This window comes from Homo sapiens, chromosome 12 (assembly GCF_000001405.40).
Source record: "Homo sapiens chromosome 12, GRCh38.p14 Primary Assembly".
NCBI lineage: Eukaryota > Metazoa > Chordata > Mammalia > Primates > Hominidae > Homo > Homo sapiens.
In genome coordinates this window covers 52,034,361-52,059,503 of record NC_000012.12, presented here as the reverse complement: position 1 = coordinate 52,059,503, position 25,143 = coordinate 52,034,361, and the positions used below count along the sequence as shown (strand labels likewise).

The window sequence follows — 25,143 nt, the reverse complement described above, 5'->3', positions numbered from 1 at the left end:
TTCCAACTACATGTCTATTTTTTATTCAATATATTAAATATATTAATCAGAAAAGTCACATACTATAAATCCAGGAAAATACACAAATATAAATGTCAGAATCTGTCATTTGTCTTCTTCCTAGAGTGACAGTTTATGTACATGTGGAAGGAGGGTAGGAAGAGAGAGCCAGCAGGAGGCTGGAAAGGCTGCCCAGGAAGGCGGGGCCCATCCCTTCCTCCCAGCCCCGCTCCCACCTCAAGCTCTTTCTTCCTGTATTTACAGCAGCACTGGGCTTATTTACAGCACGGCGCTATGTGTTAAAAACGGTTTATCTTACAAAAAACATAAAGGCCGGGGCCAGGCTGGGGGGGATAAGACAAATCGTGGGGTCACCCCCATGAAGGCATCCCCCTCCCCAAGGGCTTGAGCTCCCTGCAAACCTCCTGGAGCAGGTGAGAAGGTGGAGTCATTCTGCAGCTCAAGCCCAGGCTTGGGGGTGCTCTGGGGGTCCGTGGACTAAAGGCACATGGGGTGGCATATGAGAGTGCGCATGTGCACACGTGTTCCCAGGCAGGGGTCAGAAGGGCAGCGTGTCCATGAAGATCTTGTCAATGATGGGTGGAGGGGGCACCAAGTCCTCCAGCTTGAGGTAGAAGATGCGCTGCAGGCCCTGGGTGCACAGGGTCCGCAGCTCGGGCAGTTTGCCCAACAGACGTGACAGGCAGCTGGCTGGCTGGGGCTCGCCCGCCACAGCTGCCACGTGCTCCTTCAGGCAGCTGGCGATGCGGTTCTGCAGCTCCTCCACCCGCCGCGGCTCCTGCAGCCCATGCCGGTCTGCGGGAAGGGTACAGGATTAGCTGTACATCTGAGAACCAGGCCCCCAAAGCCCCAGCCTCCCCCAGGCCCCTAAAACTGCTGCCCCTGACCACCCCTCATGCTCTGCTGGCACTTCACAAAAGCGCATTCACATGTTGGCCATTAGTAAGCATCGTCACAAGTCTGAGAAGCAGTAACCCTCATTATCCTCATACTCCAAGTGAGAACCCGAGGCCCAGGAGGCTAATGACTTGCCCAGGGTCACAAACGGGAAATAAAATCCTAACCTACGTTTTCTGGCTAGATCATTGGGTTTTTAAAATCTAGACTGTTCTGAGAAACCCAGCCTCAGAACTCAGCACTCCCTCAGCCCAGAGTACCTCTGATTGTGTTCTATATCGTTGGGTCCCCTGTGCAATTTAAGTGAAAAAATGAACGAGGGTGGATTCTTTCCTTTAAAAAACAGAGAAATCTGAAAACCTCTGCATTCAACACCAGATTCCATCCTGCAGAACTACATTTACATAAAGTCCAAAACAGGCACAACCAATCTGATCTGCACTGTCAGAAGTCACAGTGAAGGGCTAGGCGTGGTGGCTCACACCTGTAATCCCAGCACTTTAGGAGGCTGAGACAGGAGGATCATTTGAGCCCAGGAGTTCGAGACCAGCTCGGGCAACATAGTGAGATTCCCATCTTATTTTTAAAATATTTAAATAAAAAGTAGTGGTTACCCTTGGGGAGGGCAAATGACTGGAAGGGGGCACAATAATGGGTTCTGGGGGGCAGTTATGTGCTCTTTCTTGACCAAGGCGCTGGTTGGGTAAGTGCGGTTTATGAAAATTTACCATTTGTGTACTTTTCTATATGCAGCATAATTGACAGGAAGGTTTTAAAAACAAGCCAATACCCTAGGCCACATACATGACACCTGCAGTCTGGATCCTGACAGTCTGGGACCAAAGGCTGTCTTGCGCTTTAGAGCTGGATGCAGCTGAGCCCATCTGCAATTCCTATGGTCCCTACTTTACTGCTGGCATGAGCCCGGGGCAGTGCAGGGGCCCAGAAAGTGCTAGATCCCGGCCCACCAAACTCCCTGGGACAGTGCCCTCCTGAGAACCAGTCAACCCCCTGACGCCCATTCCCTTGGACCTGGTGTGGTGCTGGTCACTCACCGGTGATGAGGACAAGGGCAGAGAGGCAGGCGAAGGCAGGGACATCGACAAGCAAGCTGTGCAGGGACCTTGAGAAGGCCAGGATACTGTCAATCCAGTCCCCGAAGCCACGGGCACACTGCAGCCGGTGTAGCACCAGGCCTGAGCAGAAGATGAGCTTGCCCTCGCCTGGCTTAGACCTGGCAGGCAGATGGGCACGAAGAGCGATCAGGGTGGTTCACAGGCAGGTGTATCAGGGAAAGGGGCTGGGCAGACAGTCAGTGGCTCTCACCTGTACGCCAGGCGGAGGATGAAGAGCTCCAGGAAGGCCGACTCCAGCAACAGGTCCTGGTCAGCCGGTGACAGCTCAGCAAAGCCAGGGATCTTCTCCGCCCACTTGCGGATGACCTCCAGAGAACCGGAGAGCAGGTCGTAGAACTGCTGTACATCCCCAGCATCTTCCTTCCCAAAGTGGGGCAGCACCAGCTCCTGGAACTAGGAAGACGGTCCAGTGGGGTCAGCACCCCAGGCAGGCTCCTACACCCACTGCCACGTATGGCTGTGTCAGACACTTGGATGCCAGATCCCGGGAGTGGGAGTGGATCTGAGATCCTGCCCAGGCTCTCACTTGCCAAGTCTCACATATTAACCCAGGGCTGCAGCTGCCAAAAGGACATATTTTTCTAATTGGCCACCTGCCTGAGGGGGTGCATTTTCCCATCTGGTCAGCCGAGAGGGGGATCCTCTCTTTGATCTGTCGAACTGGAGGGAGTCGCTTTTCTTTCTTTCTTTTTTAAACCTCCTTTCTCATTCAGTCCTTCCAGAGGGGGTAGCTCTCCTAACACGCACAAAGGCACTGCATGTGCTCATAGACCTCCCCAAGGCAGACACGGGGTGGGACCTCACCTTGGAGTAGTCCAGTTTGGCAGTGCTGGGCCCTGAGTCCAGGTGTGCACGGACCAGGGAAGTGAGGAGATTGGCAGGGGAGGCATCTGGGGGCTGCTTGGGTTTTGAAGGTAGCCGGCCCCGCCGCCCCTTCAGGCTGTCTGTTCGGACAACTGCAAAGGAATGGGTAGGGGTGAGGAAGGAAGGGATCTGAGGAAGGGCCTCTCAGCCCAAGCCGTGCACACCACTGCTGAGACGCGCCCCACCGAGTCCCTAGGACCCAGAGTCCCTGAGATCCAAGGTACCCTATAGGAACCTCCCCCTGCCACCACCCTCACAATCCAGGCAGGTGTAGGCTGCCTCCCTCCAAGGCCTGGGGTTCAGAGGTGGGGTGGAAATAAGACGTGCCCTCCTCTGGGTCCTCCAGGGCAGAAGCCTGGGGGCCCTGCTGGTCCCACTCCACTCAAGCCTACCCTTGCCCCGCTGGGCCGCACCCCAGCCACACACCTTCCTTCACCATGCCCACCGCCAGGCACTTCTGGAAGCGGCAGAACTGGCAGCGGTTTCGCCGCCTCTTGTCCACAGGGCAGTCCTTGTTAGCCAGGCAGATGTACTTGGCGTTTTTCTGCACTGTGCGCTGGGTGGGGGGGCAACACGGAACAAGCTGTCAGAGTGTGGGGTGGGGAGGGGGGAACTTAGGGGAGGGGACCGTCCAGATCCTGCTGCCATTGCAGACAAAAGCGCTCTCTGTTCACAGCTATTTTTCTAACATTTGGGTGGCAAGGGAGGGAGAGACGGGGTTGGGCGGGGGGAGAGAAAAGTCTTGAAGACATTGGGGGAGGTTTCTCGCTCTGAGGAAGTCCCCAGGACACACTACTGGGGGCCAGGGTCTCCCTGGCAGTCTAGACACCTGTATTTTTTCATGGGCCCTTGTCCACCTGCCTTCTCCCTAGGGCAGACAGGAGAGGGCCAAGGGGCTGGGGGGTGGGGACGGGAAGCTAAGCAGGCACCATCGCTGGGACAAACACACAGCCTGTTCCCAAGTCCACCCCCAGCCCTCAAGAACCAAACCCTCCGCAGGGATCCTTTCATCTCACGCCAGGAACATGAGAGCCTGGGGGCACCCCTTCCCACTAGAACCTTGAGTTGGGAGAGGACAGGCAGAGGAGCAGAGGAAAACCAGAGGCTCGCCAGGCACCCCTGCAGCTCCTATCTGCCCCTATCTCACCCCTCCCTCCAGCTCTGTGCAATCCCATGGGCCCGAGTGTCCCGGCAAATGAAAGCTTCCAGCCCTGGCATCTACGGGTCTCCAGGAAGGCGGCCCACCTGGCAGGGCTGATCCCACCCTGCAGGACAGGACTTAGCTAGGAGGAGAACCCAGGGGGAGACCACAGGTCCCAATGGGATGAGGCCAGCCTCTCTCCATTTCCAACAAAAGGCCCCACCTGGGGCTGCGCGGTACCTTGAAGAAGCCCTTGCAGCCCTCACATGTGCGGACACCATAATGCTGGCATGAAGCGTTGTCCCCACACACAGCACAGCGGCCTTCACTTCCACCTGGGGCCCCGCTCCGGGCCTTGGTTGAGGTCACGGGTGTATCCAGTATCCCCGAGCCCTCAAGGTGTGGAGAAGTGGGTGCCAAACCTGGGAAGGCCGTAGGCATGGAATAGCTCTCTCCCTCCCCCAGCTGGTGGGTGGCCTGTGAGGGGAACAACTTCAGGGGGCTCTGGGCCAGGCTGGGGCTGGGGCCGGTGGGAGGACTGAAGGAAAAGAAGGCTGGAGGCTGTGGGGGCCCAGAGGCTTTGGGCAGCTGCTCTGTCCATGCCCGCAGGCCTTCGTAAGTCTGGCTGGGCGAGAAGTGGCCGAAGGAGCCATCCCAGGGAGAGAGCTGGGGCGGCTGGAAGCTGGGCGTGGAGGGCGACGGGGCCGAGCAGGGGCTGCCATAGTAGTCAGAGCCACTGGAGGACAGGGCCTCATCCACTGGGCCGCTCAGGGGGCCGGGGTAGCAGCCGTACACCTGGAAGTCCTCGAACTTGAAGGAGGCAGAGGCAGGGGAGGTGGCTGAGGACGAGGATGTGGAGGAGGCCGAGGAGGAGGCTGAGGAGCATGGCTGGACTGTTCCTGGCAGCTGGTAGAGGAAGGTGTCAAACTCTCCTGTGTAGCCGTCCATGAAGGTGCTGAAGCTGGGCAGGGCAGTGGGGGCAGCGGGGGCTGCCTCGGGGCTGGCCAGGTCCATGGTGGGCTTGATGAACTCAGGGGTCAGGGGGTCGCTTGCCAGGTGGTCACGGGGTCCCGGACTCGGTGCTGGTGTCCCATATTGGGCTTGGATACAGGGCATCTCTGGAGAGAGAGGAGACCCCAGGGAGGGAAAGGAGAGTCAGTGGGACAAGCCTATAGCCTTGTCTCAAAGTATTTGGGCCCCAGAGCAGCAAGGTGGCAGGAATCCCAGCCTAAAGATGAGACAGAGGCACCGGGACCAGAGCACCCAGGAATCCTGACCCCTGGCCTGAGTACCATCTCGACCTAGGTGCCACAAAGCCCCTGGGCAGCGGCCCAGCATGAGTGGGCTCCATCAGAAGGCCAGCCACACCCTAGTCAGCCTGGGAACCCTAGGGGAGGCATACAGCCAGCATTTCTCTGCTAGAACAGGGGGAAGCTGTGTTCCTCCAGCCCCCTGCCCCTCCCCCATGGGGAAGGCATGGTGGGGGCCGGGAGAAGGGTGAGTGGGAGAGGCAGCCCAGCAAAGCCTCAGCCCAGCTCCCAGGAGCAGCTCCCTGGTTGTTTCGCCAACCAGGCACTTCCTGGGAATACTCCCAGGCCTCTGCAAAGCCCCTTTTCTCCTCCCCTCGCAGTGCCTAGGAAGAAGGACATCGTGAAAATGGAAGAGGAGCTGGAAGTGAAAGCCCACCTGCCTAAGAAGGCAGCCTAATGCAGAGGCCCTAGCCTGTCCCCCATTTCCACCCCAACCCTGCACACTGAGCAAAGGCAGCAGATCCCAAACCCACCCCAATCCTGCCATCTGGGGCTGGGAAGCCACTCTGCACTGCTCGAGATGCTCCCAGAAGCAAAGAGGAAGGGAACCTAGGCCTCCTCATCGGTAACCTGGCTCCAGACCTTTAAAGGCCATTTGCTGGGGACAGGGCAAGGGGGGAGGAAGGAGACCACAGCCCCCTGGACTCTCAGGAGAATGGACAACAGTACCTAAAAAGAATGTTCTGCTGCCCCCAGTTATCTTAATAAGAGAACTCTGAGAGTCCAGCAGAAGACTTAAGGAGAAGCCTGCTGGTGGGTGGGTGGAAGACATTCTGCCCCTGCCTGGGTCCCTCCACTAAAGCAGGGTCTGTGCCCTGAAGAATCCAGAGGCTCAGGCAAAGGGGGTTACACAGCCCCAGTCCCGAGGAGCCTGAAGAGAGCCTGAACAGAGATAGCATCATTCAGGCAGATCCTTACATTCACAGAATGGTCAAAAAATAATGCAGAGGAGGCTCCAGGACAGTCTCCCTCCCAACCTACACACCTGGGGTCTGCGTAACTCTGGCCTCACCAGTCAATGAGGGAAGCTGGAGAAGAAATCAAGCAGGAACAGAGTACCATAATCAAGGGGTGCAGTGATGGGGGCAAAGGCTGTCACCACCTCCTGGCCAAGAGCCCAGGAAGTCCTCTCTGGTCCTAGCCTTCCTTCTAACTCCACAGGCCCTGAACAGGGCACCTCCACCCCTAGCCTGACAACCAAGACAACAGAGACCCTTGTAGCTCAGGCCCCACACACCCAGTGGCACCAGTCCACAGGCATGCAGCACCCTGCGAGAGGTGAGGGTGGCCACATCTGCCTGCACTAGGACAGCCTGGCCAGGGATGGGCTGGGGGTGAAGGAGGAAAGACAGCAGTTGGGCAGAACTGGGCGCTTGTTCCTGCCTTATTCAAATCCTGTTTCTCCACCTGGACGTCCCACATCCGGATCAACCCCCATCAGTCCCTCCCCCTTCATGCAGGTTCTTAACAACACAAGATATGGACCTACATCTAGCCTCACAGGAGGGGGGAGCAGTCCCACAGGAGGAGGAAGAGGCGGGGTTGAAGGAGGCAGTGGGGAGAATCCGGCTTCAGGCAGGTCTTGGCAACAATGTGGCTTGCACCTGTTCTGCTGAACAAGCCTCAGGCTGCACCCTACCTGTAAGATCCAACAGAGACTACTGGGGGAGGGGGCATAGGGATGATCAGCATCTGGAGCTGGAATGGTTGGGAGGTATCCTCTAGGCAGCACCGCCCCAAGACTCCAACACTGGCAACTTCTATCCAGGATCCCCAAGGACAAGGGTTTCCACCTCTGTCTCTCTTTCTCTCTCTCTCTCTCTCTCTCTCACACACACACACACACACACACACACACACACACACGTGATCCAAGCCCCAGCGAAATCAATTCTCCCTGTGCTTACAGAGACCCTGCCCCGACCCCAAGAAGCCTCCTTTATTCAATACACAGCAAGCAGCCCTCCACAGGTCAGCCACCAAGCCAGTCACTTCCTTCAATGATCCGGAGGCTTCCTAACGCACCTCAGACAGAAAGTTCAGGGTGGGGAACCCCTGCCAACTCAGCCACAGCCTCTAAAGTGTTAAGAAAACAACCGGGACACTGGGAGGGAGCTGACAGGCTGGGAGGAAGGAGGGCCTTTTGGAAATCCAATCCCAGTTAGAATCGTACGGATCCCAGCAGCGCCAAAGCTCTGTGTACCTGTTCCCCCACGGTGCTGTGACCCCCATCCACACCCACCCAAGTTCAGAGCACCGTGCGCCCAGTTGGGCACCCTAGGAGACTGAACTAAGGCCAGCCGCCTGCTGGACAAGTCCCTACTCCCGGCGCCAACCCCAACCCCCTACAGCTTCCACTTTGCAGGTAGTCAACCTCCCCTACCTCCTACCCCGCACCCAGTAGTTTCCAGTCTGACCTGGGTTCTCATCCCGTTGTGCTACAGCTGCACACTACACCTACCCTCTTGCATGCCGGCCCTACAACATCCTCTCTGCCCGCGCGTACACCCATCTCCTTCATGCACCGCTCCTAAAAACAGATGCACGTTCCCCGAAGGGAACCTACCCGGCCGGCTCCCGCTGCCCCTGCCCGGACTGGCGCCCCGAGTCTCAGCCTGGTCCCTGGTCCCGCGTGCGCTCCCGAAGTTCTTCTGTGCACTCCCCCAAGTTTCGTAGCCTCCGCCACTGGGACTCCCCGGCCGAGCCCGACCCTCCTCTTAAGCGCTCCGTGACGCACGGGGAGGGGCGGGGGCGCCACTGACGCAGGCCGCCCGTCGAGCTTTGGCCATACAAGGGCGCGGGGGGCGGTGCGGTTCCGGCGGGAGGCGGCCAGGGGGAGGTGCGGCCCGGGGAGCCCGAGGGGGCGGGGCGAGGAGGGGGGGCCTGGAATGTCTGCGCGCGTGACGCACGCGGGGTTCCATTGACGCAGGGAGCGCGGATTGTTTGATCTATAAATAGGCTCCTCGCGCCCGCCGCGCCCGCTAAAAATAGCAGCTCCCAGGCCCACTAGGCTCCCCGCACCGGACTCGGGTCCCAGCTGGGGGCCCCCAGGTCCAGAATAACCAGCGGGAGGGCCAGAGCCCGAGAAGGGGCGCTGTAGAGACGCGGCCGCGGGGCTTCCCCGGATGAGGATCTCCTCACTCTCCAGTTGCTCCCGGGAGCCAACCGCGCCCGGTCCCTCCGGCTCCCTCCGAGCCTAGCCCCGCCTTTACACCTTCCCAAGCCCTTCCTGGAGCCCTAGGGTGTCGCTGCTGCCGCTGCTGGGCGGTCAGGACAGGCCGCGGGCTGAGGCGGGCAATTCGGACACACCCTGGGGAGCCTGCGCCCTCACCTCAGCCCTAGGCGCAGCTAGTGCACAGGACGCGGCTTCCCCAGCAGGGTCTCAGGCTGAGAGGCTGCCCCTGAGACGTCAGTTAGAGCCCTCGCTTAGTCCCTCCAGGCAGTCTCCCTACACAGGACCTTCCCGAGGGCAGGCGTTGGCCAGGCCCAAGCTCGGCCAACAGCTCTGGCTCCGCTCCACAAGCTGAACTTGGTTTCGCACCGTCCCCTCCCCAGCCCCTTACAGGGGGAGTGCACCCTAGTTGGGAAATTACCGAATTTCAGAACCGGGTGGAGCCTGAGAAATCTTTTCAAACTTGTGCCAACTCTTCCTCATTTTATAAACAAACAGGCTCAGAGAAATAATGGCACTTGCTGAAGGTCACACAGCCAGGTGGTGGCACACTGGGTTGGAACCCAGGGCCACAGACTGCATCTCTAGGGATCTCTCCACGCCTCTTATCAATACCCCTCCCCCTGTCCACATCAGGGAGCACCGGCCCTCCCAGCCTACCTCCAGCACCTGTGGGGAGGCAGCTCTGACCAGTTATCACCTGCCCGGTGGAGTGAGGAACAGCCCGCCAGGGCCCTGCTGGGCACAGACCAGGCTTCAGCCACCTGGAGCCTTCCCTGGTTTGGCCGTCACCCTTCCACCCTGATCTCTCCTGAGCCTGGGGAGCCCTCACGGAAAAGTAAGAGAAGAGGGAAGGGCAAAAAAACAAAAACAAGGAAAAGAGAGCCCTGCCACCCCACTGCGACCCCCATCCATTCCCCTTCTCCCATGTAAGTCAATATCCATGAGTTTCTGCTTCCATTGAGCCTGCACCCACCCACCCAGTTCTCAACTCATCTGGTCACCCCATAGGACTTTCTCTGCCCCGGAGGCTCTGCCGGCCCGATTTCCACCCTCAACCCCCATCACAGTTTTCCCACACCCTTGTCTCCAGCCCCCGCTTCTGCCCACTCAAAGGTCCCACAAGCACCTCAAATTTCATCTGTTCCAGACAGAACTTGTCATTTCTGCACCCCCTGCCTGCCACCTAATCTCTGCTCCTGGCTCCTGATGCCCCATTTGCAACTTTTCACTGTTTCCTGAAATTCTTTTTTGGAACATCTCTTGGGTCCTTTCCTCTCCCCGTTTTTGTTTTGTTTTGTTGTCTTTGAGACAAGGTCTTGTTCTGTTGCCCAGCCTAGAATGCAGTGGCATGATTATGGCTTACTGCAGCCTGGACCTCCCAGGCTCAAGCCTCTTGCCTTGGCTTCCCAAAGTGCTGGGATTATAGGCATGAGCCACTGCACTCAGCCTCTCCCGCTTTCCTACTGCCAGCCACAGCCCATGCCTCACTGGTCCCACAGACCAACTGCCTGCGCCCAGTGACCACTCCTCCTTTCCCACACCCATGAAGACCATCCATTAGCCTGCCTGTCTCCTCTTTCTAAAGCCTCACTGTCCACCACAGATGGAGCAGTCTTCATACACAGTTGACCCTTGAACAACACGTTTGAACTGTGTAGGTCCACTCATATGGGGATTTGGGGATTTTTTTTCAATCCAACATGGATCCAAAAACCCACATATACAGAGGGCCGACTTTTAGTATCTACAGGTTCCACAGGGCCAACAGTGGGACTTGAGTATTCGCAGTACAAGTTGGGGTCCTGGAGCCAACCCCCTTCATAAACCAAGGGGTGACTGTAATGCTGATGGCATTCAGTCATCTGGTCAGAACCTGCCAGAACCCTCCATCCCAGCATACAGTCTCAACGTGAATGCATCTGCAGAGAGCTCTGGGTTGCTCCAAACCATCTTCCTTCAAGGCCACTGGTTGAATGTGAAGTGTGGGCAGGATGATGCCAATTGGACCCATCCAGGATCCCTACCTCATTTCAGGCAAAGTTTTGCTTTTCTTTCTCTTAGGCTTTTCCGTAAGATTTTGCTTAGATTTTGTGGAATCCTTTTGTGGAAAATGACTCCACAGCTTAAAAAAAAAAAAGGTTTAAAACCACATATAGAATTCAAGTCCTCCCATTTTGCAGATTAGGAGTCAAGGGTTCCAAGAGGAGCTACACTTTGCTCAGGAGCACACAGCAAGTCTTGCTGGGTGGAACTGATCCCAGCTGTGTCACAGGCTGACTTCCTCACCTAGCACCCACTTTGCCCCAGGATGTCTCCCTCCACCCCAGCAGGGCCTTCCCTAGAAAATAAAACTAACTTTTTTTTTTAAGACGGAGTCTCGCTCTGTCACCCAGGCTGGAGTGCAGTGGCACTATCTCGGCTCACTGCAAGCTCCGCCTCCCGGGTTCACGCCATTCTCCTGCCTCAGCCTCCCGAGTCACTGGGACTACAGGTGCCTGCCACCACGCCAGCTAATTTTTTTGTATTTTTAGCAGAGACGGGGTTTCACTGTGTTAGCCAGGATGGTCTTGATCTCCTGACCTTGTGATCTGCCCGCCTTGGCCTCCCAAAGTGCTGGGATTACAGGCATGAGCCACTGTACCCGGCCAAAATAAAACCAATTTTAATAGGTAGCAAAAGATGATCAGCCAAGCCATTGTTCTTCCTGCCAACCAGCAAGAACAAGTGCGTTATCTGTGGCTTGACCAGTCTGTGCTCAATCTCAGCCTTGCTAGCTCTTTTTTTGTTTTTTGTTTTTGTTTTGTTTTGTTTTTGAGATGGTGCTGTCGCCCAGGCTAGAGTGAAGTGGTGCGATCTCGGCTCACTGCAAGCTCCGCCTCCCAGGTTCATGCCATTCTCCTGCCTCAGCCTCCTGAGTAGCTGGGACGACAGGTGCCTGCCACCACACCCAGCTAATTTTTTGTATTTTTAGTAGAGACGGGGTTTCACCGTGTTAACCAGGATAGTCTCGATCTCCTGACCTCGTGATCCACCCGCCTTGGCCTCCCAAAGTGCTGGGATTACAGGCGTGAGCCACCGCCCTCGGCCCAGCCTTGCTAGCTCTTTGAGAGTTGAACCAGCCTCAAGCTCAGGCACCCTCCTCTCCTCCTCACAACTTGGCATTTGTAAAAAGTGGCACAGACCATCCTGTGGGGTAGGCCCACCCATAAGCCCAAGGAAAACTGAGTGTGGTGAGGAGCTGTCCAGGTCCCTGGTCTGAATCTCAGCATCTAGCCTCCAGATCTGGGCCTGCAGCCCAGGCCCCACCTCCCCAAGCTGCTGCAGGTTATGGAGGCTGCAGTCCTGCTGCCCCAAAGCCTGGAGGAGGATAAGGAACTACAGCTGCCACCTGGTCATGCTTGCAGGGGTGGGAGATGGTGGGGGTGCTCAACACACCACATTCTGAAAATAAGTAAATAAGGAGAAAAAGGCAAAGTCCCTCTGTGGAAACACAGCTGGGGCCACCAATGCAGGTTCCCGTGTGGAGCACCTAGCCTAAGATAAAGGCGAGAGAGGTGAAAGGGGCTTGGGGATCCCAGGCCTTGTGGGCCCTCAAGGGAGAATGGCCTGGGCCTCTGAGAGAGTGGGGTCCAGCTAGTGGAACTTTGGAGAAAGGCACAATTGACGTGGACTTTGGGAGGCCTAAAACAAATGCTGGTCCCAGACTGGCCACAGACTCCCAGCACACACCCCTCCAAGTCTAACCTTCAAGAACAAGGTCAGAGTGAACAGCTAATTGTCGGGGAGATGGGGTAGGAGGGAACAGGTAATAATGAGAGAGGTATCCAAAACTAGAGACAGGGACCTGGAGGTAAGGCAAGGCCATGACAACATGGAAGGGCGGGGAGAGATGTCACGATGGAGACGAGACAGCCCCACCTAGTCAGGCCCCCACACCACGGCCCAGCCTATCCATCTGCCCTCATCACCGCAGTTCCCCACCGACCCCATATAAGGACCTTGAGCTAAACCTTCCCACCACCCACTTTGCACATACTGTTTCACCCACTGTGCATACTGTTTCCCTTCCTCCTAGTAGCCTCCTGAGTAGCTGGGACTACAAGCGCCCGCCACCACGCCCGGCTAATTTTTTGTATTTTTAGTAGAGATGGGGTTTCACTGTGTTAGCCAGGATGGTCTCGATCTCCTGACCTCGTGATCCGCCTGCCTCGGACTCCCAAAGTGCTGGGATTACAGGCGTGAGTCACCGTGCCCGGCCCAAATTTTATTTTAAAATAGCCACGCCTGAATGAGAGGAACGTATTTCTTCATATGGATCCAGATGCAGATGTAATTTATTGAGAACAAATTCTTTCAAGTGTGTTCTTCTGAAAGCACAGTGGCTGTTTCTCATTATGTATTTGTTCTATCAACAGATAGAGCACAAGTATGATTAGCAGGGAATGCAATATCTCATAGTAGAAAGGGGTCCTCCTGCTGACAACACAGTTTATTTTCTGAGCAGTTCACCAGGCCCTTACCCCTCCTAGTCAAATCTTATGGGGCCCAGGGATTTATCATGTACTCAGACCCATCCCTCACCGACCAGTATGTGAACAACATGAGGACAAGGGCACTGTCTCCTAGTCCGTGGTGGGAAGATCCTTTGTGCATCCTCAGTAGTAAGTAGCCCAGGGCAGGCCCCAAGTGAGCAGCCAATGTCCACCACCATTCCCCAGCCCAGAGGGTAGGGGTGGAGATGGGTAAACAGGGGATGAAGGAAGTGGAATTACACAGCCCTTTTCCCACGCTGCCCCTCCACCTTGGGCTGGGCCCCACCCCTACTGAGTAGAGGTCAGGAACTTGCCCTACTTTCACTGAGACTGTCCCCACCCATGGGCCTCCACACCCTTCCCCTGGGGTGGGCAGAAGGAGTGAGCTTTGCCTTCTCCAGCTCAGAAGTGGCCCTGGGAGCTTCCCCTCCTCGGCCCCAGGGCCTATTGCCAGCCCTGACCCGGCCACTTCCTCTTCCTGCTTTGGCAGTAGGCAGGGGGATTTGCACTGTGGGCAGGGAAGCACTGCCTACTGCCCTGGGGGCTTCCCGTGGGCAGCTCTGGGAACCAGGGGTGAAAGGTCAGGCCCAGGCTCTGCTCTCCTGGCCCTTGCCCAAGCCCTACCATGAGCACATGTATCACTACCTCCCCAAAACCAGCCTCCCAGGGACCCAGGCAGGTCAGCTAGTGGCCGCACTCCTCCCCTCAGCTCTCAGCAGGGGCGAAATATGGAAGAGCTATCAGAGGCATCTTTGTCCAGGAGCTAGCAAGCCTGATGTGTGACCTGAGGCCAGTCCCTTGTCCTCTCCAAGACTGCTTCCTCATCTGCCTAATGCAGACATCACCAGGCCCAGTGCTGGTAGAATTCAGTTCACAATGGAAAGGAGAGGCTCCACATCCAAATGTAGCACTGCCTGGGGCCTGGGCTCCCCCACTGTCATGGGAAACCTGTAATGGCAAGTGAGGGTGGAAGTCGGGAGGCAGGCAGTACCTCCAGGGCACAGGGAAGTGCTACAGGGGGATGGGTTCCAGGACCCCGACATATACCAAAATCCATGCATACTCAAGTCCCACACTCGGCCCTGTGGAACTCATGTCTGCAACGGGACAACCACAGCAGCCTGCAGCAGAATCCTGGGGCTGGCAGGGAGGGTGGCAGGGGCAGGAGATAGCAGGGTCCTCAGCTGGACGGGGGAGCCGGCAGCCCTCCTGCTCCAGGAACTACAGACAAACAGTAACCCCATCTCTACTTCTCCCACTCCTGGGCTGAGTGAGAGGAAAAGAGAGTGTGCCCAGAGATGTGGCTCTACCCAGCACTGGGAGAATTCTAGACTGTGTATGCAGCGAGTGGTCAATTAATACTCTGGAGAGAGCTAGTTAATTAAGGAGGTCAGGCTATGGCCACAGAGGCTATCTTCAGTCCAGTGATTTCTCTACCCCTCCCTCCCTCCCTCTCAGGCCAGAAGAAATTAACATACAGCATAAAAGAATAAGATCAGACTTCAGGAAGAACCACCAGACGGGGCTGGAAAACACAGACAAGATCACGGAGTTCCTTTGGGAAAGGTTGCCCCACGCCTTGAACCTCCCTCAGTTTCCCTCTCAGTCTCTTCAGCTCCTGGCCAGCTCTCTTCTCCTCTCGCCTTGGAGGGTCTCCCACCACCTTGCAGAACATCAGCACCCACCAAATTCCCTTGCCTCTGCCCAAGGTCTCCACCCAGCCTACGTGGGCAAAATTTCAAATTCCAAAATAAAAACTCTCTGATAACGAGTCCCAGCCGGAAAGACTGATGCACTTTCCTATTGTTAAAGTATTTTTAGTCACAGGCTCTGGATTCGTTTAGAGACTCACGTTCAGAAAGGGGAAAATTTTTTTTTGAGAACTGGGAAGGAGAGCACAGGAGCCTCCCACGTAAGGAGCTGCTGCCTGTTCCATGCCGGGCCAGAGTCCCTGGCCCAGGTCCCGGAGCGTGTTTGTGGCAAGCTGGTTGGCGGACTTGCCAGACCTCTCTCCAGCTCTGCTTCTCAGGCACCCAAAGCAGCTGGGAGGCCGGGCAAGGGCCCGGCAAGCGGGGCAGGCCAGGGACTGAGGGCTCAGCAGAACGCCAAGCCCCTGGCCCAGCCACTCAGTCCCAACTAGTGGGGGCTCAGGGGCCCCACTCAGAAGCCAATCCTGAGATACCCCAATGGACACCAAACTCGCCGCAGTGACCAGTGCCTCATCCAGGCGGGGTGGAGAGGAGAGGAGGACGGACACCCTGTGGGGAAGCTCTGAGAAAGGAGCTAGACTGCATTAGCTGTCTCTGTACACCTCTCCTAGTTCTCAGTCACAGCGTTCACAAGTCCAACTACCGTCATCCAGCTGTGGTCAAGCTGCACACTCATGCCTCCAGTTGTCGGCCACCCTTGCTTCCTCCCCGCAGCCCAAGGCCAAAGGGTTTGGCATGACAGTCACAATGGGAAAAAATCCAAACAGCCCAGCTCCCATTCCTCAATGTCCCTGTCCCAAGACTCACCAGCTTCCTCCTCACGATCTGCTTTGACCCTGGAAAAAGGTCCCAGACAACCGCACGAAGGGAGAATCCCAAGATTGGTTGGGGGCTCTTCCTGGTGGTCTCAGGGAGCCCTGTGGGGAGAGACGTGCTGCCCAGCCAGCCTATCCTCACAGCCGAGGCTGGGCAGCAGCTGAGCGAGCTCTGGATGTGGTGCTGCCTCCAAGCCGGCGTGTCCTCCTCTGTTTATATAGCAGAAACCAGAGCCGGCCTCTGGGGATGGGGGGAGCCACTTTGGGCCCTCTTGACTGGACCTGACTTTGGCCCAGGTCAGCAAGAGCCCAAAATAGTCAGCTGACGGGAGCCCCAGCATGAGCGTGACCCTGGGCCCGTGCCCAGGCCTGGCAGACAGGTGCCCACGTCACAAGACCAGCAGCTCTAGCACTCATGGGGCCCCGGTTGGCAGCCCCTCAGGGTGGCCTTGGCAGTATATCTGGCATGGGAGTTCCACCCAATCACCACCATCACCCAGACAACGAGGTAAACACAAGGAATTCTGCCCACCAGGGCTGCTGTGTACCCAGAGGGAGGGCTGAGTGCTCAGGAAGCTGGGTCTGGACTGGGGGCGGATGTAGGGGCCGAGTTGAGGGAGGGACACCTGGCCACTGCTGTCATCCTCACTCACGTGCTTCCCAAGTCCAGATCTCCAGCTGACCAGAGAACACCTGCCTCTCCCCCTTACAGTAATTCCTCTCCCTGTCTTCAGCCCGAGGTTGGTGGTACAGCACCTGCTGCCATCAGGAGGCCAGGCACACACCCAGCCCTGCCCCCAGAACAGGAGGCCCTGCTTCCCAGGGCTTCCCCCTTCCCTCCAGGCTGGGACCAGACACCCCATCCTCCCCACCCCAGCCACCTCTCTGGGGCTCTCTGCACCCTGAACGCTGACCCCCCATGAGGCAACAGTGTTTGGGAAGCTGAGGGAGATACTGAGCCAGTGCGTGCTTCATCCGGGATTTCTCAAGGCCTGGGAGGGCTGCTGCCCAAAGATGGCCCTCTTCCAGGGAAGGAGGAAGGGAATCTCATGACCCCTGTCTGGGGTGCAAGGCAGAGCTCCAGCTCCTTTAGGCACAGAACCAGGACTACAGTGCCCTTGGCCCCATCTCATGTCCCCAGGAAAGGCCTGCTGAAAATCCCATTCCCGTCCTCCACCTCTCAGCCCCAGATCAGTGTGGGCCTTCTCCGGAAGCACCCTCAGTCAAGGAAGGTATGTCTTCCACAGTCAGACCAGGTGCCTGTGCTTGCCAGCCACCCAGGAGGCATGGTTCTGGGCTTGGCTCTACACATCCTCACTGCAGGACCCCTGGAAAAGTCATTTCTCCCCTCTGTACCTAAGTCTCCTCTTCTGTAAGTGAAGGAGATGTGCTAGAACACCAGTAGTGGAAGGGCTGTCCCTGCCTTCCCATTCACAGAGGCCACCCCCGACACCACAGACTCCATAGGCCCTCTGGCCTGCCACAGTGAGGAGGGGCAGGCACCATGCTTTCCACGAGGAAGGGGAGGTCCCAGCCTTCCCTTCATGCACTCACCTGGAGAAGTGTCTACACCTGGGAGACAGGCCAGTTCCCCGCTGCCACGTCTGCCCCATGATGCTCCCAGCCCAGCCCCCAGACACCCTATTCTACCCTATCTGCTTCCTGGAATCAGGCACATGCTGCCTTGGGAGCAGCTGTCATCCCCTACTCCCACCAGCCCGTGTCACCTAGGCCCAGAGAGCCCTCCAGCCTATCCTGCCAAGAAAATAAGGCTTCCCCAGTCCCCACACTCACACTACCCCAACCTCTAAAGAAATCAGATCCCGCACACTGAACAGCACCTCGGCTGCCACCTCCCCAGGGCTTCCCCTCCATCCCCCTAACCACATCCGCTTTGGGCAGCTCCACCCCCACCTCTGCCCCCCAACCCCACCTGCTGGAGGGGTGTACAAAGGACAATAGCAGAGCACTTACCACTCTGGATGGACCAACAGGCCTTGGCCAACCACATTATCCCGTCTGCCTTCAGGGCCCAGCAGAAGGAGCCAGGCTGCCTGGGAGGGGCAGGGCCTGGCCTCTGTCCATGGTGGAGGCCTACAGAGGGAGAGTCGATGTGAGTGAAGAGAAACCAGCCAGCAGGCACATTCCCTGGAGACAGCATGCCCAGGACACGCAGGAATGGGAGCAGTGGCAGGACCTAGGCCACAAGAGGGGGACAAGCCAGCGCCCAAGGACCTCCCCGGGTTAGGCATTGGAGCCTGGGGGCCGAGGCCCCAGGCAATCTGCTTCCAGGGGTGTAGGGTGTGGCCAGGAGCTGCTGATAGCATCTGGGGCATTTCAGAGCCATATAGACACATCAGCATCTAGCAACTCCACCTCATACCCTTCCTGGCTCTCGGCCTTTGACATGCACAAAAGGGCATGCTGCGGGCACAGAAAGGGAGCTATTGTGAGGACAGAGCGGAATACCCCACTCTCCTTAAGGGGCTCCAGTTTGGCCCCTAAAGCCTCGGAGGCCCCCAAGAGACAGGGGCTCCACTCAACTTAGAGTAGAGTGGATGTGGGATCCCAGACCGTCTGGGTTCGAATCCTAGCTCCACTGCTTATCACCTTGGGCAAATTACATAATCTCTTTGTACCTCATGCTCCTCATCTGTAAAAATGATGACATCTGTAAAATTAACAATCACAGGCTTATCAGCAGGCTTAAAAAAAAGTTAATGTGTAAAAGACTTAAGGACAGTGCTGGATACACATATCTACTACATATCAATATTAGGAGAAGTTCAATGAGGACACACACATAAAAGCTAGCCCCAACCCCTGGTTCCTAGTCCAAGGTACCCTGGGCACCTGGCCTCTCCTTCCAGGGTGGAAGCCAACTGTGTGCCTCACCCCACACCCCAGCCTCTTCAGCTCTCCCCCAACCCCATTCAGCCACGGCACCTTGACCCACATCTCCCCTTCTCTTCTTCCATCCCCTCCAGTGCTCTCTCCTCTCGACTACGCACCAGAGTGAGGGCAGGACCAGGCCTTCACTGGCTATTGGACTGCCCTTCAGACTGAGATGAGGTCTGGGAAAAGAGAAGGAGATGATGGGAGCTAGGAGGGGCAAAGAGGAGGAGGACCCCAGAGGGTGGGCAATGGGCTTCCTCACCCACCTGACCTTTGCCCAAGGTCTACAGGCCAAGGGAAGATCCTCTGGCCCACAGTACCCAGGCTCTCCCCTTACAACATTGTCAGCACCCCTCCCTCCCGATCCTGTGGGTATGATGGGAAGCAGGAAAAGGCCACAGGAGACAAGGAGGGAAGGGAGGGCAGACTGGAACATCTGGAGCACCTTTAACCCCAAACAGAAAGCAAGACAAGGTTTCCAACCTGCCCCGGCCCATGGACTACACCTGCTTTCCAGGATGACAGTGTCATCCTCCCATCCCCCCGAAACTGGTCTGTAGTTTCCCCCAGCTTTGTCTTTTCTCCCTACCACCCCACTGCTGAGGAGGAAGGGTAGGGAGGGCCAAATACCACCTACCATAGTCAGGCCCAACCTGAGTGCCCAGGTCTTCCCCATCTGGTTCTCAGAACGGGGGCCAGAGTTTGGCACCAGGTGGTGCCCACAAATGATTCATAGCATCTTCAAACAGGTATCTGTTTCCCCACTTGTTCCAGATCAAAATGCCCCCCTCAATAGTCACATCACAAGCATTTACTGAGGACCCCCGGGAGCCAGGCAGTGTGCCCCGAACAACAGGAGAGGCAAGAATGAGCACACCAAGATCCCAGAGCCCCAGGAGCTGATAAGGGATGAACCAAGGTCAAGTACAGTCTGCACTGTGCAGAGAGCAAACCAAAGGCTGAGTGGGCTTGGAGGAGGAGAAAGTGGCCCCCAAAATGGGGTGGACCATCAGGCCAGACTTCAGTCCCCAGCTCCTGCTCCCCACCAACCTCATTTCCCAGCCACTCACTATGGTCCCATCACGTGGGCCTTCTCTCCCCACTCAGGGCCTCTGCATCTGCCATTCCCTCTGCCCAGAACTGGCTCTTTCTCATCAACCAGGTTTCCATTCCCATGTCACTTCCCTGAACAGCTTGCATCCCCACCCCACCACACTAGCCTGATTTTATTCATCATAGGTCTAATGTTCACATCTGTTCACTGGTTTATCACCTGTCTACCCAACCAGAATCTAAGGACGCTGTCCATCTCAATCACTGCAGAGTCTGCAGTCTCTAAACCCTGCTCAGCACTGGCAGGTGCTCAGTAAGTGTGCGTGGAAGGGTGGTGGATGCACATGCCTGCATTGGAGCTGTGCTGGGAGGAAGGTCAGCTAGGTGGGGAGAGCATTCCAGCTCAGGAGCTGTCCCTTCCATTTGGCGGCAGATCCAAGAGCCAGAGCAGAGGTTCTTCCTTATGTTGAATCACATCCCTGACTCTAAAAGTCCCCAGCCCTGGATCCCAGCTCTGTCCCCTGCACTGGCCCACAGGAAGCCTCATTCTAGTCCTTCCTAGCAAGTATTTTAGTCTTTTCTTAATAAACTGCCCCTTGCAACAGGACACCGCTGACAGGCCCTCTGCGTGACAGGTCCTGGTGGCCTCCTGAGTACAAGCTCTGCATTGGCCAATATCCCTACCCAGAAGTGGGCATATTACTATTATTAGCAATAACAACAGCAGCTAATATTTGTTAAACAACATGTGCCAGATACATTAAGCACTTTACATGCATTTTCTCATTTCAGCCTCACAATGTTATGAGGAAGGGATTATTATTATGCACATTTTACCAATGAGGAAACTAAGGCCCAGAAAGAAATGTTAAGCAACTTGCCCAAGGTCACACAGCTAGGAATTGGCAAAACTGGGATTAGAACCCAGGGAGCCTAACCAAGGAGTCCAGAATCAGGCATTCTCGCTCCCCCTGCCACCCACTTGGACCTGTGTAGCGGATGGAGGCTTCACACTGCACAGAGCAGTCCCACAGCCTCCATCCAGAGAGCAGGGCAGAAGCTAAGGGCCTGGGTCCCTGGGCCTTTGAGCCAGGCACAGGGCCTGAACTCCTCAGCTGACTTTCTTAAGTCCAGCAGAGGCCTCAGCACAGGAATCGTCAGTCACATTCACACCGTTAATCTCGGCCCATCCTTCTGCCCAGTTACCTTCAATTAGAATCTTGATTTTATACTGTGCACTTGTCATTCCTCACAGCTCTGGATGACTACACGGAGTCAGCTGACTTCCTTTTTAAGTCTCCATCCAAGTCACTGATCTTAAATGTTCACTTGGAGTAGATCTAGGAGCAAGCCTTGTAGCCCCACCACTAGGGCCCCAAGCCAGGCCGACGACAGCCCCCAAATCCATCAGCACCCAGTGGGCATAACTGTTGTGAACCTACCAACCTCTGCCCAGCCTGTGTTTTCCCAATGTGCCCCTAATACTAGCCCCACAACCAAATTAACAATTCACTGTAAATAAACCACCTCTGCAGCATTTCTCCCATCCCCAGGTCATCTATCAAAAACGAAGGCATAAAAAGGGAATGAGCCTGCCAGGCGCGGTGGCTCACGCCTGTAATCCCAGCACTTTAGGAGGCCGAGGCAGGCGGATCACAAGGTCAGGAGTTCCAGACCAGCCTGGCCAATATGGTGAAACCCTGTCTCTACTAAAAATACAAAAATTAGCCGGGCGTGGTGGTGGGTGCCTGTAGTCCCAGCTACTCTGGAGGCTGAGGCAGGAGATTCGCTTGAACCCGGGAGACGGAGATTGCAGTGAGCCGAGATCACGCTACTGCACTCCAGCCTGGGCAACAGAGCGAGACTCCATCTCAAAAAAAAAAGAAAGGGGGGGCGTTGGGGGGGAATGAGCCAAGTCAAGGAACTGTGCCCTGCCCTCCACACAGCCAGACCACCATGGAGGAGGTCTGGAAATACAGACCACCCCCGCCCCCACCCCACCCAGTATAAGGAAGATGTTGCGGCAAAAAAACAAAACAACAACAAAAAAACACGCCTGGGAGACACAAGCCCCGAGTCCTAATCCCCAGCTCCGCCTGACTCCACGAGACCCCCAGCCTTGGTTTCTTGACTCAGTCCCTCGAAGGGGTTGCATCACGCAGCATCGGTCCCTCCCGGCTGGGTCTCCTGGCAGACGAGCTCCCGCGCTCCTGGAACCGGTTCCCGCAGCCGGCGGAGAAATGGAAGGAATTTCTCTGGCCTGGCCACCTCCAGCGCCCCTCGTGGGCCAAACCCCACCCTTGGCGGACTGGGGAGAGAAAGCCTTGGCCGTCGCCCTTGGGGGCTGACTCGGAGCCAGCGGTTCCGCTGGGAATCCAGTCCCCCCCCCGACTCCCCAGTTTCCAAGCGGGACTCCGGCGTGGCCCCGAGCCCGCCCAAAGGCATCCACCGAAGACCCGAGATTGCCCGGCCTCTCCGGGGCCCACCTCCCGCCACCCCGGCAGCCCCTCACCTGGCCCCGCGGGCTCCGCTCGCCTCTCCACCCCCGCTTTCCGGGGTCGCGCACCAGCCGGCCCTGAGCTGCTCTGCACCGCAGGGGCGCCCATGCCTGGAGGCCGGGGGTCCCGGGCGCCGCGAGGGGACCCCCGCCAGTTCCGCCGCCGCCGCCACCTCCTCCTCGCGCTCCTGCAGCCGCGCCGCAGCCGCTCAGCGCCCCCCGCCCCCGGGAAGCCCCCCGCCCGCAGTTCCGGCCGCGCGGCGCCCCCCGCCCCCGCGCCCGCGGCCGCCCGCGCGCTGTCCCAGCCCCGGCGCGCCTCCCCCGGCGGGCGGGGCGGGGACCGTGACGCGTGCCCATTGACGTCTCCGGAATCCCGGCGGCGGCGGCCGACGCAGCCTCATCAATGGGGCTAAAAATAGCGGCGCCCGGAATAGCCGCGAGCGCCCCGCCCCGCGGCTCCCCCCACGCCGCACACCCGGTTACATAACCCGCGGCCAGAGCCGGGGAGCTGGTTCTCAGGTGAGGGTGCCGAGGTCTCGCTCACACCTTCCGAGGCTGGGCACCTGGGGCTAGGTTATAAAGAAACTTAGCCGGGGCTTCCCCAGGAAGAGGTGGAAAGAGCGAGGCCCAGAGAGACTCGGTGGCGGTCCAAAGTCACAGCGATTCGGCTGCTGGCGAGGACAGGGCCTGGCCTTTGAGTCTGCGGGCGCCCTGCCTGCATCGCTTGGCATTCATGCCACCCCAAGGGCAAGGAACCCAGGTAGCAGGGCACCCAGCTTCCACACGAGAAGGCAGCTTACAGAGAAATAGGACTTTCTCCTGAAGAGGGCACTTCCCGAGGCGGGGGTGCAGGCCCCGGCAAAGCCCAGGTGATGGATTCACTGATCTGGCTGCTCCCATACCACTGTGTGACTTAGGACAGTCACTTGACCTCCTGAGCCTCAGCTTCCTCGTCTCTAAAACATGATATGATCAGATTATCCACCATATCTGGCTGTCAGGATGATAACAGCTGTGGAGGTGCCTTGTACACAGTAGATACTGAGTTAGTTCTCCCTGCTCTCCCCAATCCAAAGGAGTGCTTCATGCACTCAGAGGCCCACCACCGTGACCAGGAAGCCCTGGGAAGCCCACCCTCCTCTGACCAGAGTCTTCAGGCCCAGGCTTCCATGGTAAGAATTTTCCTGGGGGTGCAGGCACTTGGAAGGTTTCTCTCTCCCATGTGACTGGAGCCCTCTTTGGAAATGGAAGAACCATCCTGTCCTGAGCAAATCCTTCTCCCCCAGCAGCTGCCCACTCAGGAGAGGCTGGTCAGGAAGGCCCGGCCAAAGTTGGAGCAATGGGATTGGGGCTGGCTGGGTGGGGTTGGGGGTTACCATCTCTGCTCCTATACCCCCGTACAGGCAAGGTCATTGGGGAACACCCATTAGGGAGGATCCAGTCATGTGCTCTGCTGTGCCAGCCACTAGCCCCTGATCCTTTTTGGAGCCACCTTAAATTATGAGCATGCTATACAATCTCCAGCACCCAGCCCAGGCCCCACGCAGCAAAGAATCTCTTCTGTGCTCAAAATTCTCCAAAAGAGGCCCCACACCTCCACTCAGCCCTCATTCCAGGGGCTGCATTCCTCTCTCCACCCCACTGCCCACCCCCAGAAATCCTTTGCTGGACAAATCCTAAACTCTTGGCGCAACTCAGAATTCCCTTTCTCTCATTCTTCATAATGATTCCAAGAACCTCTGCAGAGTTTGTCTCTCAAAATCACATCCCAAGAACCTGTACATTTCTCTCCCAGGTTCAAGTATTAGGTCAATTTGCAGATAAAGAAACTGAGGCTTCAAAAATGACAAGGCGTTGGGGTGGGGGAAAGGGACTGACTTTTCCTCACTCACCCTGTGCCCTCCTGTTTCCTACCCCAGCAGCTTCTTTCACATGGGCTTCTTAGAGGAGCAGCTACCCCACCCCCTCTTTTCCTTTCTTTTTCCAGAAGTCTAACTTTTGAAATACATTTTAAAATATTTGCCTGTGTGGGAGAAATACATTTATTTAGACAGGAAGGGAAAAAAAGGGCTCAGTTACCAGTTTTTCCATGAAGGCTTCCAGCCCACAGAGGTCTCTCCTTTCCATAAATACTTTTAGCATAACTTGTCTTTATTATATATTCTCCTATTTATAATCAAATAAAACATATTCTAAAATGTGGAATGCCAGAACACGCACGCTTTGGGTGGCATGTGGAGGCGGCGTGAGATGGTGGAAGAAGCAGTCTCTAGAGGTCTGGGATGGACACTGGTTGTCGGAGGACTGAACAGATGTGGAGGTACCTTGTACACAGCAGGCACTCAGAGTTAGTTCTCCTCCCTGCTCTGCCCTAGGAGTCTCATTTCCCTAACCCACAAGAGGCTCTACCTCTTACCAGCTGCATGACTCCAGGGAAGTTACTTGCCCTCTCTGGGCTTCAGTTTCCTCACCTCAAACACAAAGATGATAAGAAACCTATCTCACAGGGTTGCCATGAGAGTGCCTCTTTGAGAGCAGACATAAAGCATGAAGCGGAGTCTGGCACATCATGGCAGATCTGCCATTTCCATACAGGAGGACTTGGAGGACTTGGGACCTTGTCTTGAAGCTGTACATCCAAGGTGCTTACCCTAGCTTTGCCCAGCCAGTATGTTTATTGGGAATACTGGGGGCCGTGGGGGCTGCACAGATAGGAGCAATGTCGCTTCTTAGTCATTACAAATGTCCAGTAAACGTCTGCCCTGTTGTTGTCTCCCTGATCCAGGTCACTCAGCTAGTGAGTTGCCCAGCCAGAACCATAGCCCTGGTCTTCTGTCTCCATAGCCCTGGTCTTCTGACTCCCAGGCCAGTGCTCTTTCTACCCAGCCTCTTGTTCCTTCATATCTAATTCCTCTCCTTTCTACAGGCACTGCTTCACAGCCCCTATTGCAGATAGGAAAGGTGAGGAGAGAAAAGGTGAACAACGTGCATGGCCCAGGGAGTCGGAGCAGAGGGGAGACAGGCCACCATGGCCAGTGACGCCCCACATTGTGGGAGGTTCCTAGAGGACAAGCTCCTACACAGAAAGCTGGCTCCTA

At 56.7% G+C, this 25,143-nt stretch overlaps 1 protein-coding gene and 2 long non-coding RNA genes across 14 annotated transcripts in view, besides 4 other annotated features; 2 read left to right on the top strand and 1 right to left on the bottom strand.

Moving 5' to 3' along the window:
- Positions 1-25,143, bottom strand: part of NR4A1 (nuclear receptor subfamily 4 group A member 1) — a 36,672-nt gene continuing 11,529 nt past the window's right edge. The window contains exons 1-8 of one of the 12 annotated variants that reach the window (XM_005268822.4): positions 22,061-22,359; positions 17,575-17,694; positions 4,300-5,177; positions 3,345-3,474; positions 2,859-3,010; positions 2,245-2,447; positions 1,974-2,152; positions 1-816 (exon numbers count right to left, since the gene is read on the bottom strand). In XM_005268822.4, the coding sequence (XP_005268879.1) occupies positions 560-816; positions 1,974-2,152; positions 2,245-2,447; positions 2,859-3,010; positions 3,345-3,474; positions 4,300-5,177; positions 17,575-17,694; positions 22,061-22,154 (2,013 nt within the window). In that variant the 5' untranslated portion in view covers positions 22,155-22,359 and the 3' untranslated portion in view covers positions 1-559. The other 11 variants (NM_001202234.2, XM_047428755.1, XM_047428756.1 and 8 more) reach the window with 11 other exon arrangements.
- On the top strand, positions 4-754 carry NR4A1AS (NR4A1 antisense RNA). The gene is made up of 2 exons (NR_170321.1): positions 4-403; positions 471-754. It is a non-coding gene; the product is annotated as an NR4A1 antisense RNA (long non-coding RNA).
- Positions 6,398-6,517: an enhancer, noted in NCBI's record as "active region_6389". NCBI's record gives its function as "activates an Ori minimal core promoter by ATAC-STARR-seq in GM12878 lymphoblastoid cells {active_cell/tissue: GM12878}" and the evidence as "EXISTENCE:reporter gene assay evidence [ECO:0000049][PMID:35858748]".
- Positions 7,369-7,926: an enhancer, noted in NCBI's record as "H3K4me1 hESC enhancer chr12:52445362-52445919 (GRCh37/hg19 assembly coordinates)". NCBI's record gives its function as "activates a minimal SCP1, AML or CMV promoter by ChIP-STARR-seq in primed H9 embryonic stem cells {active_cell/tissue: H9 hESC(primed)}" and the evidence as "EXISTENCE:reporter gene assay evidence [ECO:0000049][PMID:30033119]".
- Positions 8,018-8,427: a silencer, noted in NCBI's record as "silent region_4482". NCBI's record gives its function as "represses an Ori minimal core promoter by ATAC-STARR-seq in GM12878 lymphoblastoid cells {active_cell/tissue: GM12878}" and the evidence as "EXISTENCE:reporter gene assay evidence [ECO:0000049][PMID:35858748]".
- LOC107984510 (uncharacterized) lies at positions 8,350-10,899 on the top strand. The gene is made up of 2 exons (XR_001749148.3): positions 8,350-9,470; positions 10,295-10,899. It is a non-coding gene; the product is annotated as an uncharacterized LOC107984510 (long non-coding RNA).
- Positions 22,301-22,510: a silencer, noted in NCBI's record as "silent region_4481". NCBI's record gives its function as "represses an Ori minimal core promoter by ATAC-STARR-seq in GM12878 lymphoblastoid cells {active_cell/tissue: GM12878}" and the evidence as "EXISTENCE:reporter gene assay evidence [ECO:0000049][PMID:35858748]".